Source organism: Homo sapiens, chromosome 8 (assembly GCF_000001405.40).
Source record: "Homo sapiens chromosome 8, GRCh38.p14 Primary Assembly".
Taxonomy (NCBI): domain Eukaryota; kingdom Metazoa; phylum Chordata; class Mammalia; order Primates; family Hominidae; genus Homo; species Homo sapiens.
Window position 1 is genome coordinate 48,100,492 of NC_000008.11, and position 13,793 is coordinate 48,114,284.

The 13,793-nt window shown below is 45.7% G+C and overlaps 1 long non-coding RNA gene across 1 annotated transcript, besides 1 other annotated feature; it reads left to right on the plus strand.

The window, feature by feature from the left end:
• Nucleotides 1–755: 755 nt before the first annotated feature.
• LOC107986941 (uncharacterized) lies at nt 756–10,728 on the plus strand. The gene is made up of 3 exons (XR_007060907.1): nt 756–846; nt 958–999; nt 10,690–10,728. It is a non-coding gene; the product is annotated as an uncharacterized LOC107986941 (long non-coding RNA).
• Nucleotides 4,912–5,562: an enhancer, noted in NCBI's record as "H3K4me1 hESC enhancer chr8:49017963-49018613 (GRCh37/hg19 assembly coordinates)". NCBI's record gives its function as "activates a minimal SCP1, AML or CMV promoter by ChIP-STARR-seq in naive H9 embryonic stem cells {active_cell/tissue: H9 hESC(naive)}" and the evidence as "EXISTENCE:reporter gene assay evidence [ECO:0000049][PMID:30033119]".
• Nucleotides 10,729–13,793: the final 3,065 nt, after the last annotated feature.

Here is a 13,793-nt window from a genome sequence, read left to right on the forward strand (position 1 = left end):
AGCCGACATCCAAGATACAAGACAAAGTCCACCCCACTCATCTGTCTTCTCTCCTCAAGCAAACGAAAGGGGTCTTGTTTGGAGCCATGAGCCGTGCAGCCTGGGGTTAAGGGAGGAGTGATGCCAGCACTCCCTTAGCTGCCCTGGCTGGTGTCTCAGTATGTCATGTGCCCCCCCAATCCTCTGGCTCTGGGCACAGTTGAGCACTAGGATTGTCCTAGAAGTTGCAGTCCTTGTGACCTAGAGTGCCTTTCTAGTTGATGTAGGGTGCCAGAGCACTTCAGCTTATGGTGGCAAGGCTTGTAGCAGCTCAGATTCAGATCGCTGGGATGGGCATCTCCACTCTGGCCAGGGCTGATTTAAATGCTCCCTTCCTGGGTGAGCATCAGCTGAGTTTGGTCTGGCTTTCTTTTCTGCTATAACAGGGCAGCATTGAGTTTTAGGCCTCACGATTGCTATGCTCTCCCTCTCCCCAGTGCACAGAGATGCTCTGGGCACCATGCAGCCACTGCCAGGGGTTGGGGAGGGGTGGCATTGGTGATTCAGGACTGTTTTTCCTAACTCCTCAGTGCCTCTTTCAGTGATATGAAGTTACAACCCGGTACTGTGAGTGTCCACCTGATTTTTGGTTCTCATGAAGGTTTTTTTTTTTTTTGTGTGTGTAGATGGTTGTTAAACTGGTGTCCTTGCAGGGGAAGGAAGATTGGTGGAGCCATCTGTTCTACCATCTTACTCTGCCTCCTTGGTTTTTCCAGGACAGACGTTCCTGGTTGGCAATATGCAAAGAAAGGAGTGGAATATTGCTAAAACTGGAGCTGACTGAATTCTGAAATACCAGCTCATCAAGTAAGTTGTCAATTCCCATCCAGCTGAATTGGGAAGTAGTGGAGACACCTAAAACTTAAGCTAAATAAAGAACACCTGAATAACATAGTGCTTTCTATTCTGTTGTTACAGTTAACAGCCTTGATGATTCAGAGAAAAACAGTACTAATCTGGGTGAGTAATGGTGTCACTTGGCAGTGCTCTGGATAAAGTAGTACCTGCAAAAAGCCCATCTGTTTCTTCTGACCTGGTAGTGAAGGCAATAGCTGGAGGTGACCAGACTGACTTGAAAATAAGCAGGCTCAGCAAGGCAGCCATTTGAGGAAATTCACTGGGGCTGATGCAAGACTCAGAGAGAAAGAAGCTTGACATAGCCCATTTTCATGTATTACTTTCCAGAACAGCTTCTTTGCTATTTATAGGCACATGTGTTATCTTGGCCTTCTGGGAGCAAAAATTCCTGTGTTTGACCAGAGCTGTTTTTGCCAGTAGGCAGTTCCTAAGAGAAACAGGGCATTTGTTTGTTTTACTTTTGGTTTTGCTAAATAAAAGCTGAAATTTTGCAAATACCAGACTTGTTTAGTATCAGGCACTTTATAAACGTAAAAATGTGCATACATGTTTTATTGCAATTGCCTTTCATGTGACACAACAGAAATCAGAGCCGACCATAGCATTCAGCGCTGTGTACATGGAGGGAGTCCAGCTTGGGTGAGAGGAGTGTGTGCATAAAAACACAGGTTTCTAGAGAGACTCATCAGAAACCAAATGCATGTCCTCAGAGCATGAAGGTGCTTTTCCTTTTGATTCTCCTGAAGATTCATTTTTTATATCATGCTGTGAACACATAAGTGAAACCTAGGTAGTTCTGAAGCCCTTTGTCTTCCTCTGTTGCTCTTAAAAAAGTAGGTTACCTTGAGTACGACTCCCTTCCCTTGTAGTTCTGAGTCTGTTGGCGGAAGACATGCGGCGAGGTGGAGCCAGCCTGGCTGTGGGAGGCAGGGATGAGGGTTCAGAAACCTGCGAGGGGAGCACGCCCACACTTCCTTTTATGAAATGCTATGTGCCATTTCAATATGTGGCAACCATGTTCAGAGAAACTATGGATAGAGTTTCCTCAAATGATCCTGGCAGTTTTATTTTTATTGATTGACTGATTGATTGATTGACTGAGATGGAAGCTTGCTCTGCCGCCCAGGCTGGAGTGCAGTGGCACCATTTGGCTCACTGCAACCTCCACCTTCTGGTTTCAAGTGATTCTCCTGCCTCAGTCTCCCGAGTAGCTGGGATTACAGGCACGTACCACCACACCTGGCTAATTTTTATATTTTTAGTAGAGACGGGGTTTCACTGTGTTGTCCAGGCTGGTCTAGAACTCCTGACCTCAAGTGATCTGCCTGCCTCAGCCTCCCAAAGTTCTGGGATTACAGGCATGAGCCACCGTGCCTGGCCCCTGGCAGTTTTAAAAAAAGGAAACCCATTGTAAACAGAGACTGATCTTAGATAAGCAAACAGAGAATGTACCAGAGTTACCAGGGACATAAAACTGTTGGTTAACATCAGAATATTGGTTGAGAAAACCAAATGCCAGGAGGGCTGTTGTTTGCTTTCTGATTGAATTTCTAGTATTTCCAGTATTGAATTAGAACCCATATTTTCTCTAGGGCCCTAAATTATTATTTTATCACTTTTGCCACCTTATTTGGTTATGTCTCAACAGGGATTTGACTATAGTCTTTATATCTACAGGGTTTATCTTGTTTTAATATATCGAAGATCATTTAATGAACTATGATAAAATTATAAGAAAATTTGAAATATTGAATTGCTTAGATATCTTGCTATATTCATTTGATAAATTGAATAGAGATATTAGGATTAATATGAAGTTTATAAATATGGCATCTATAAAAATTAAAGTTCTAGGAAGACAGATATCAGAATCATCTTTTTGAGTCAGTCCCTGCAAATAGCCTTATATGATTTCAAGGGCTTGTTTTTATTTGGTAATTTCTGGCTTTTGTGGCAGGAAAAGAGACCTCCGAGAAAAGAGGAAAGAGGCTGGGCACAGTGGCTCATGCCTGTAATCCCAGCACTTTGGGAGGCAGAGGCGGGCAGATCACCTGAGGTCAGGAGTTCAAGACCAGCCTGGCCAACATGGTGAAACCCTGTCTCTACAAAAATACAAAAATCAGCCGGGCATAATGGCAGGTGCCTGTAATCCCAGCTATTCGGGAGGCTGAGGCAGAAGAATTGCTTGAACCTGTGAGATGGAGGTTGCAGTGAGCCGAGATTGTGCCATTGCACTCCAGCCTGGGCAACAGAGCAAGAGTCCATCCAAAATAAAAAAAAAAAAAAAAAAAGGAAAGAAAGAGAAAGCAGAATGGAAAGGGGGATACAGTAACTAAATCTCTATTTCTCCTTGACTTATCAGAGTTGGCAGTTTTCTTAGGGAGCCATATTAGCCATATTTCAATCATTTCAGGATTTGTATGACTTTGCCTATTTTCATGTTTTGCGGGGATTAAGAATAGCACCTTGCGAATAGCACCTTAAGAACAGCACCTTAAGAACAGCACCTTGCTTTGTGTCACTATGGATCAACTCACTGAAGGCCGTTGATAGGGATCATCTAGCTGACTGCAGAGACATTATTTTAGTGTGGTTTAATCCAGCTTAATAATAAGCTCTCCTCCAGACACAACCCATTTTCCGAGTCAGAAAACTGATGTTCTCATCCTTGCTGTCATATTCAAGCCAAGCAGTTCTGTGTGTGTTTTTATTTTTGTGACAAAGTCTTGCTCTGTCGCCCAGGCTGGAATGCAGTGATGCGATCTCAGCTTACTGGAACCTCTGTCGCCTGGGTTCAAGTGATTCTCCTGTCTCCCCAGTAGCTGGGACTACAGGCGTGCACCACCATGCCCAGCTAATTTTTTGTATTTTTAGTAGAGATGGGGTTTCACCATGTTAGCCAGGCTGGTCTCAAACTCCTGACCTCAGGTGATCTGCCCTCCTCAGCCTCCTAAAGTGCTGGGATTACAGGCATGAGCCACCATGCCCAGCCTCTGTTCTGGTTGTTTTAAAATTCACACAGGGCATATTTTATTTTATGATTTTTATTTACTTAATGCAAGTTGCATCACAGCCTGTGGCTGCAAATGGGGTCCTTGTTGTTGTTAAGTGTATTCGCCAGTTTAACAGCTTTCTTCTTGTTCTCTCTTGGAATCCTGATTCTCTAATCCAGAGGCCCAGACCCTGGATGCACCTTCAGGTCTGTGAGCCGCTGCCTGGGTCCCTTGATGGAAACTCAGAGATCAGAATCAACTGCTTTGTTTTTGGGAACCTAACACTAGACTGTGCCTAGCCTTCTGGTCCGGACCAACAGTGAGTTGTGTGGAGAGGTGTCCACACACACTGTCCTGGGCTGGTCTTTCTGTCTCTAGCCTGGCCCCCTGTTGCAAGTAGGTCTCCAGGACGCAGGCTGTGAGGTGGAGCTTTTCATGCAGGGAGGTTGTTGAGAATTCCTCCTGGGAGCAACACTCCTGGGAGTAAAAAGATCAGGATTGGGCAGAGGGAGAATGTGAGCTGTGATGCAGTCACAACAGAGTGACGGCCCTTCAGAACCGTCAGAATTTAGGGAGCTGGGCCTTTATGTCCATCAGACAGTCCTGGTCCTGGCTGCCCCTAGGAACAGGGTGTGAGGCAGGAAGGGCTGACCCATCCTGAGAGGATATCTGTTCCAGGCAGGGTGAAGCCACCCTTCCCAGGGAAAGGGCTCCAGCAGACCTTCTGTGCCCCAGGGATCTGGTTGACCATCTCTGGCGTGGTGGTGTACAGGGCCCTGTGTCGGTTGCTGTCACAAGTGGGTGGCACACTGAACAGCGGTGGTTGGAAGAATGGCCCTGTGGCCCTTTGGCCTCCACCTTTCCTTCTACCGTTGACACTCTCTGCATGTGCCTGCCGTGCCGGCCCCAAGGTGGCTGATGACAGACGCGCTGATGTCGACTGCTGAGCCACTCTGCTTGCCTGGGTGTTGGATGTCTCTTCTGTGGTGGGCATGGTGCTCTGTGCCACTCCCACAGGGCCGCCGCGGCCCCTTCCTTTGTCCTCCATGTCTCTGGCTTCCCGTTGTTTTCCTTCAGGCCCCTCCCTGCCAGCCGAGCCTGCTGCCTCTTCCACAAGTCCCTGTGTGTTCCAACCTCAGGCCACAGGGATGGTGGGTGTGGGCCAGGGGCTGCCGCCTCGCGGGGCTGCCCTCGGTGGGGCTGTGGTGCATGCCAGGGACCAGCACTGGAGCTATGTGGGCCTTGCTCTTCCTGGATGAGCTGGTCCAGACTTGCTGCCTCCCAGTGTGGCCACAGGTGTGCGCCGGGGGAGGACACTGAGGTGATGATGGGGGTGGCGTGATGTTCAGAGCGCTGGCTTGTGGGCTCGCTGCCCGTTCTGGTCTGGATTGTGCCTGACCCCGGGCACCCCTTCCCTTCCCAGTGGCTTGCTCCCTGCAAGGTGAGGTGATGGGCTCACTGGACCTGTGGCTTAGTAGGTCCGACAGAGCCTGCCATCGTGGCAGCCCTGGCTGCTCGGCCACCTGGTTGGCTATGATCATGCACACTCTCTCTCCCAGGGCCAGTAGTGCACCAAGAGCCATTCTCGAAAGGTGTAATTGTCTGCTCCAGCCAACAGGGCATTGCTTAAGGCCTGGCGGTCCTGGAGGGACCTGCCTTAAGACACTGCTCCACCTGCTGTCTTTCCTCACTGCAGATACCTCTAATATCATAGGCTTTCCTGAGTTGTGTGGCCCAAGTGGCAGGGCCTCTGTACCCCAGAAGAGGGTTGAGATGTGAGATGGTCACAGTAGAAGCTGCAGCCAGTCCCTGAGGTGCTCTGAAGCTGGGGAGGCCCTTTAGAGTGCTGCGGATCCAGGGAGGGCACTGGGCCCTCAGACGCGTGCATGGACCAGCGTTGCATGTGCACTGCCCCCAGAAAAGACTTAACCTCAGGCGGGGGGATCTCATGTGAAAGCTGTCAGCTGCCAACTTCTCTCCCTTCCCTTTCCAATTTTTGATTATTATATTTAGTTGCCAGTATTTATAATATTTGTATTATTCTGTAATCATATTTGTTTTAATGTTAGTACTATTCTTGCCAGCCCCACTTTTTTTTTTTTTTTGAGACTGAGTCTTGATCTGTGGCCAAGCTGGAATGCAGTGGCACAAACTTGGCTCACTGCAACCTCTGCCTCCTGGGTTCAAGTGATTCTCCTGCCTCAGCCTCCTGAGTAGCTGGGACTACAGGTGCACACCACCATGCCTGGCTAATTTTTGTATTTTTAGTAGAGATGGGTTTTCACCATATTGGCCAGGATGGTTTCGATCTCTTGACCTTGTGATCCACCTGCCTCGGCCTCCCAAAGTGTTGGCATTACAGGCATGAGCCACCACACCTGGCCTACCCCTGCTTTTTTTTGACATAGGGTCTTGCTATGTTGCCCAGGCTGAAGTGCAGTGGCTTGATCATGGCTCACTGCAGCTTCAACCTCCTGGGTTCAATTGATCCTCCCACCTCAGCCTCCCAAGTAGCTGGGACTACTTGGTGTGTGCCACCACACCTGGCTAATTTTTGTATTATTTTGTAGAGATGGGGTCTCACTATGTTGCCCAGGCTGGTCTTGAACTCCTGGGCTCAAGTGATCCTCCTGCCCTCAGTCTCCCAAAGTGCTAGGATTACAGGTGTGAGCCACCACCACTAGCTTCTTTTTTGCAGTAGTTTTTCCTGTTATGTTTGGTTGGCTGACATTCATTCTTTGGTAGTTTCTAAAGACAAACTTATGGAAAACAGGAGGTTGAGGCTTTTTAATCTTTTAGCTTAATTCTTGAATGACAGCTTGGCTGTATATAAAGTTCTCAGGCTATTTGTTCTTTCCTTGAGCACATTTATACATTGCTCCACTGTCTTCTAGCATTGAACATTGATGGGCAGAGCCTTGGGGTCAGCCTCATCCACTCCCTGCTGCCTCTACTTATGGGTGACTTGAACTTTTTACCTTGATGTACACAGGCTTTTTGTTTTCTTCTTCTTTTCTTTTTTTGAGACAGAATCTTGCTTTGTTGCCCCAGCTCGAGTGCAATGGTGCGATCTTGGCTCACTGCAACCTCCGCCTCCTAGCTAGGGTTCAAGCTATTCTCCTGCCTCAGCCTCCTGATTAGCTGGGATTACAGGCACACACCACCACGCCTGGCTAATTGTTGTATTTTCAGTAGAGATGGGGTTTCGCCATTTTGGCCAGGCTGGTCTTGAACTCCTGACCTCAGGTGATCCATCTGCCATAGCCTCCCAAAGTGCTGGGATTACAGGCGTGAGCTACCGTGCCCAGCCTATACAGGCTTTTTGGAATATGCCTCAGTGCTGAATGCTTTGTGTCAATTTTTTCTCGGACATGGTAGATTTATGTCTTCTCCTAGTTCTGGGACACTTTCTTGAGTTATATTTTTAAATATTTAGTTTGTCTCATTATTTTTGTTTTCATCTTATACATAAATTGGGCCGCCATTGCCATTCATCCATAGCAGTTAGTTTCTCTCTGATTTTTTTTTTTAATTATTTGCTTCCATTTCCTTTTTCCTGCTTTTCTAATTCTCTCTTCTCCAGCTCTTCCTGGGTTTTTGGCAATGCTTAGTCTCCCTTGTGTTACTTCCAGTTTTTCTTTCATTTTTGTGATTTTCTTTCCTTCCACTTCTTTTCCAAGGTCTGCTAGTCATTAAAAAAATACTCTATTTCCTTATGAAATATTTTTTGTGTCCTCGTCTTTCCTCTTTGTAGTGGTTTGAATCTCCTGCATCATATTGGCAGTTGCTTCAACATCATGAAAAAGTCCATGATGAAATACTTGTTCATAATTTTCACTTGTTTTGCTATAGGGTACTTGCACAGATAAGGATAGACATTTCTTTAACAGGGACCAAATATATTCTCTTACCCGAAGCAACCAAAAATCCACACAGAAGATATAAAACCATGGATATCAAGCAATGAAGATGGGAAACAAGGGAGATGAGTCCCGCAGCCGCCCCAGCTTGCCGCGTGCAGGGAGTTTCCAGGTTGTGGCATGGGAGGGAGAACCCAGGAAAAGCCCACAGCCTCCCTGACTTGGGAGGCATAGCTGGGAATCTGGGAGGCCAGGATGGCTGGATTTTGCAGGGCAGAGTGCTGGCGAGGAGAGAGCTGCACAGTAAGAAAGAACTCTGGAGGTCTCCAGAGGTCCCCATTGAGTATCCAGCTCAGTACAGATTAGTACGAGTGTGAAAAAAGCACCTGAGGCTGGGGAAAGAGACACCTGGGATGATCCGAAGCCCACTCCTCAGAGCTCACCTGGGACCTGAGACAGAGCCTGCTCCCCCAGCAGTCAGGCAGAACACCCAGAAGGGTTTTGCCTCAGTCGTGAAGATAATTTTTCCCTTGAAAAGTCCAACTTTTAATATTCAAAGACAGCTGGATAAATGGGGAAAAGCCAGTTTGTTATGAGGATACATTGACCAGAGACTAAATGCTGACCTGGTCCTGCTTTGCAAAGTTTAAAGGCAAGATCTAAAAGGATCAAACTGTTTTAAAGAAATGTACTATGGCTGGGCACGGTGGCTCACGCCTGTAATCCCAGCCCTTTGGGAGGCTGAGGTGGGCGGATCACGAGGTCAGGAGTTCAAGACCAGCCTGGCCAACACAGTGAAACCACGTTGCTACTAAAAATACAAAAATTAGCTGGGCGTGGTGGTGGGCGCCTGTAATCCCAGCTATTCGGGCGGCTGAGGCAGGAGAATCACTTGAACCCAGGAGGCAGAGGTTGCAGTGAGCCAAAATTGCGCCACTTCACTCCAGCCTGGGCGACAGAGCTAGACTCCGTCTCAAAAAAAAAAAAAAAAAAAAAAAAAAAAAAAAAAAAAAAAAAAGAAATGAACTATGTCCAAAACTCAAGATTATTTTAGGAATACAAAAAAGTCTAGCACCTGACAATCACATTGGTAATAAAAAAAATTGCCTAGCATGCAAAGGAATAGGAAAATAAGATCCACAATGAGGAGAAAAATCATCAAAACTGACCCAGAAATAACGTAGGTATAGAATGAGCAAACAAGAACGTTAAAACAGTTATAACTGCATTTGATACATTCAAGAAGCTACAGGAAAGATTGAACATGTTAAGTAGTGACACAGAAAATATAAAAAAGACTCAAGTTGAACTTCTAGAAGTAAAAACCACAATGTCTGAGATGAAAAGCAGAATTGATAGGATTAGGAATTCATCCTAACTGAATGGGATTAGACACTGAAGAATAATACGTAGTAGTGAAGTTAACTACATAGCAATAGAAAGCATCCACAATGAAACACCAAGAGAAAAAAGAGTCACAAAAGGGCTCCTCGAGTAAGAGAAGGTTCCTCCTGCCTGCCTTCGAGCTGGGACATTGGCATTTTCCTTCCTTCAGACTCAAACGGAAACACTGGTTCTTCCTGGGTCTTAAGCCTCCCCGCCTCAGCCTGAAGCCTTCAGTCTCCAGCTCTCCTTACTGCTGGCTCACCCTGCAGATATTCAGACTGGCTGGCCGGCCTCCAGAATCACACAGGACTATAGCTTTTTTTTTTTTTTTTCTTTTTTGTGGGCAAAGGGCTGAGATTACAAGTAAGAGTCACCATGCCCAGCCCAGTAAATTCCTTATAATAAATCTCTCTCTCTCCCTTTCTCAGAATATATGTGTTTTTAGAATATGTATATTCTGTTTCTCTGGAGAACCCTGACTAATACAGTATCTCTCCATTTATTTATTTATTTGAGATGGAGTCTTGCTCTGTCATCCAGGCTGGAGTGTGCAGTGGTGCAATCTCGACTCACAGCAACCTCTGCCTCTTGGGTTCAAGCAATCCTCCCACCTCAGCCTCCCGAGTAGCTGGGATTACAGGTGTGCACCACCATGCCTGGCTAATTTTTTTTTGTATTTTTAGTAGATACTGGGTTTCACCATATTGGCCAGGCTGGTCTCGAACTCCTGGCCTCAAGTGATCTGCGTGCCTCGGCTTCCCAAAGTGTTAGGGTTACAGGCATGAGCCACTACTCCCGGTCTTCCATTTATTTTTGTTTTATTTGATTTCTCTCAATAATATTTAGTAGTTTCAGTGTACCCCCAATCTTTTAGTTTTTTATCCTATTATAAATAGTATTTTTTGTCAATTTATGAGTTCTAGCAGAGATAGAAGTATATAAACATGTAACATGAAATCATAAACTGTATACAATATAAGATACACATAAACCCCACGATTTTTATGTACAGTATGTGAACTAGATAAAAGTGGCTCAGCTGTGGGTGAGGGGCGGTGCTGGAGGAGCGTGGAGCCCTTCCCCTGACCTCCCATCCCAGTGCTCCATTTCCCTGAAGCAGTGAGGAATTCTGCACCAATTGATTTGAAAATTGTTGGTCTAAAACAATCAGACATCTTGGGACACTCTTTCCTTCACTAGATTGATGTGCTCCCAACGAGAAAGTAATTTGTAGACTCCCATGGTCCATGTTACATTTATCTTCCAAAATATCAATAAGATTGATTATACAATAGTGTTATCCACTGGGAAATGCTGCTATGAAAATATATGTGCTATAAAAATGCATCTGGGAAATTTTTGTGAGGTTAGCATGTCTTATTAGTAAGATAATTATAAGTTTGCAAGTATTTCTTGCTGGATTGTGTGATTATCATATGTGTCTCAGCGTCTGCAATGACAGAAAATTGAATGTAGGGTAATACTCTTATTTTATATTGACATCCTTCTTTGCCATGTCCTAACCTCTATTTTTTTTTTCTTTTTTGAGACAGGGTCTCACTCTGTCATCCAGGCTGGAGTGTAGTGACACAATCATAGCTCACCACAGCCTCGACCTCCCGGACTCAAGTGATCCTCCTGCCTCAGCCTCCTGAAGAGCTGGGACTACAGCTGTGCACCATTGTGCTAATTTTTAAATTTTTTGTAGAACTGGAGTCTTCTTATGTTGTTTAGGCTGGAGTCCTGACCTTTTTAAGGTCAGAGCCATTATATATATTTACACACACACACACACACACACACACACACACACACACACGGTGTAGTCCCGTGAAAGTGACAATGTTCCCAATCATTCCTCTGTGAATCTGTAGGAACGGACACCTAGGGCTCAGTTAAGACCCAGCTCTGTGATTGCTTCTTGTATCAATTCTCTTGAGTCTCTATAACAAAACAGCACAGTTTGGGTGACTTAAAAAATGGAAATTTATTTCTCACAGTTCCGGAAGCTGGGAATCCAAGATCAAGGTGCTGGCTGATTTGCTATCTGGTGAGGACCCCTTCCTAGCTTGCAGCCAGCCACCACATTGTGTCCTCACATGGAGGAGAGAGAGACAGCCCTCTTTCCCTCCTTATAAGGCTACCAACCCCATCATGAGGAGCCTACCCTCATGGCCTCATCTAACCCTAACCCCTCCCAAAGGCCCATTGCCAATGATACAATGATATTTGGGGTTAGGGCTTCACCATATGAATTTGGGGGAGATACAGTTCAGTCCATAGCACCCTGCTTCACTCATTTGTTCATCTCTGATGGGTAGGGAGGAGCTTCTCACTGTCATCAGCCTAGCAAGGCTGATGTCACCTTGATCCAGCCACAGTTACTCTTGTATTTAAGTTTTTGACCCTTTGTTTAGTGTTTAAATCTGAGAGTCAACCTGCTAGATTCCTCATCTGTAATTAGTAGAGCAAGCCTCAGTCCTCCACATGGTATAGATAATGTTCACTGCTCTTCTATGTCTTTCCCTCCCTCCCTACAGGATCATGGCTGTCCCGAGAGTGCATGTGTAGTGCCATCCTGCTTCTCAGCGTTCTTACCACCAAAATTGATGCACAAATTATTGGACAAAATGAGCTCGGGATCTGAGGGAAAGACTGCAGAGAACATGAATACCTACAGTCAAACCTTGTTCTTTTCTGGAACAAACTGTTATGACTTGGATGAGCCTGATTCCAGGTCATGCTGCAGCTGGAGCTGTGCATCAAACTTTTAGTTCTGCTCAGATCTCTCTCTGCATCTCTCTATTTTGGGGTTAGTTCAGGTGTGTGTGTGTGTGTACACTTGCACACTGTGTGCAGGGGCACAGATGTGAGTTTCAAGAAAAGGTGGCTGTGAAGGCTGCTTCTTTCATGTTATTATCTTGTCCTTGTCCAGGCCACCACCGATATTAGGACTTAAGTCCAACTCTTATCACTTCTTTATTACAGAGAAGAAATGAACGGCCACTGGCCCATATCCTTTAAGTGCACAGCACATGAGACGTCCTTTCCTTGCCCAGGCAGTGACTTCAGGAAGCCATAGCAGTAAGGCAGGTACAAGGACCCTGTTGTCCTTCTGAAAATTATGAGACTGTCCGGGTTTCAGGTTCTAACATTTTAGTACTTAGGTCATCCACTTTGGAGGCTGGTTAAATAATCTTAGTTAACAGAGGGAAAATGACTTCAAAGTAAGTTGATCATGGATGCTACATATATTTTCTTTCTTTCTTTTTTTTTTTTTGAGACAGAGTCTTGTTCTGTTGCCCAGGCTGGAGTGCAGTGGTGTGATCTCAGCTCACTGCAACCTCTGCCTCCCAGGTTCAAGTGATTCTCCTGCCTCAGCCTCCAGAGTAGCTGGGACTACAGGCAGATGCCACCACGCCCCGCTAATTTTTGTATTTTTAGTAGAGACGGGGTTTCACCATGTTGGCCAGGCTGGTCTCGAACTCCTGACCTCAAGTGATCCACCTGCCTTGGCCTCCCAAAGTGTTGGGAATACAAGCATGAGCCACCGCACCTGGCCAGGATGCTACATATTTTTTTTTTTTTTCGAGACAAAGTCTCGCTCTTGTCCCCCAGGCTGGAGTGCAATGGTATGGATCTCAGCTCACTACAACCTCTGCCTCTTGGGTTCAAGCAATTCTCTTGCCTCAGCCTCCCAAGTAGCTGGGATTACAGGTGCCTGCCACCATGCCTGGCTAATTTTTGTATTTGTAGTAGAGATGGGGTTTCACCATGTTGACCAGGCTGGTCTCGAACTCCTGACCTCAGATGATCCGCCCACCTCAGCCTCCCAAAGTGCTGGGGATTACAGGTGTGAGCCACCGCACCTGGCCGATGCTACATATATTTTCTAATGATATTATGTGTCATTGTTTGATCATTCTGCTGGTTTTAATTTTTTAGATGGAGTCAAAATGTGAAACTTGTGCTCAACATTTGCTGAGGTTATTTAAGCCTTTACCTTTGTAGAAATAAAGTTTTCCAAAATAGGAAATTTCAATGCTATTTGAATGTCATTGAGGGGAAGGGAAGAGAGTGAGATTCTGGAGCATGCATGGAGGGATAAGCGCTTGCTGAACCACCACTACACATGAGAGTGGGACTCAGATGGCATCAGGTGTCTCTTGACACCTTGAGTTCTGCTGAGTCTGTACATGGGCAAAATTGACAAGCCTTTAACTAGACTGACCAAGAAAATAAAAAGAGTGAAGACTGAAATGACTCCAATCAGGGGTATTATTACTGACCTTAGAGAAATAAAAAGGATTATGCCAACACGCTAGATAACAAAGACAAGTTCCTAGAAAGACACAAACTAAAAAACTAACTCAAGAAGAAACAGAAAATCTGAATAGAACTACAAAAAGAAAAGAGATCAAATTAGTAATTAAAAAAAAAAACTAACCACAAAGAAAAGCTCAGGCCCAAATGCTTTGCTGCTGAACTCTACCAAACATTTACAGAATTCACACCAACTTTTTTTTTTTTTTTTGATACGGAGTCTCGCTCCTTCGCCCCCGGCTGGAGTGCAGTGGCGAGATCTCGGCTCATTGGAAGCTCTGCCTCCCCGGTTCATGCCATTCTCCTGCCTCAGCCTCCCGAGTAGCTGGGACTA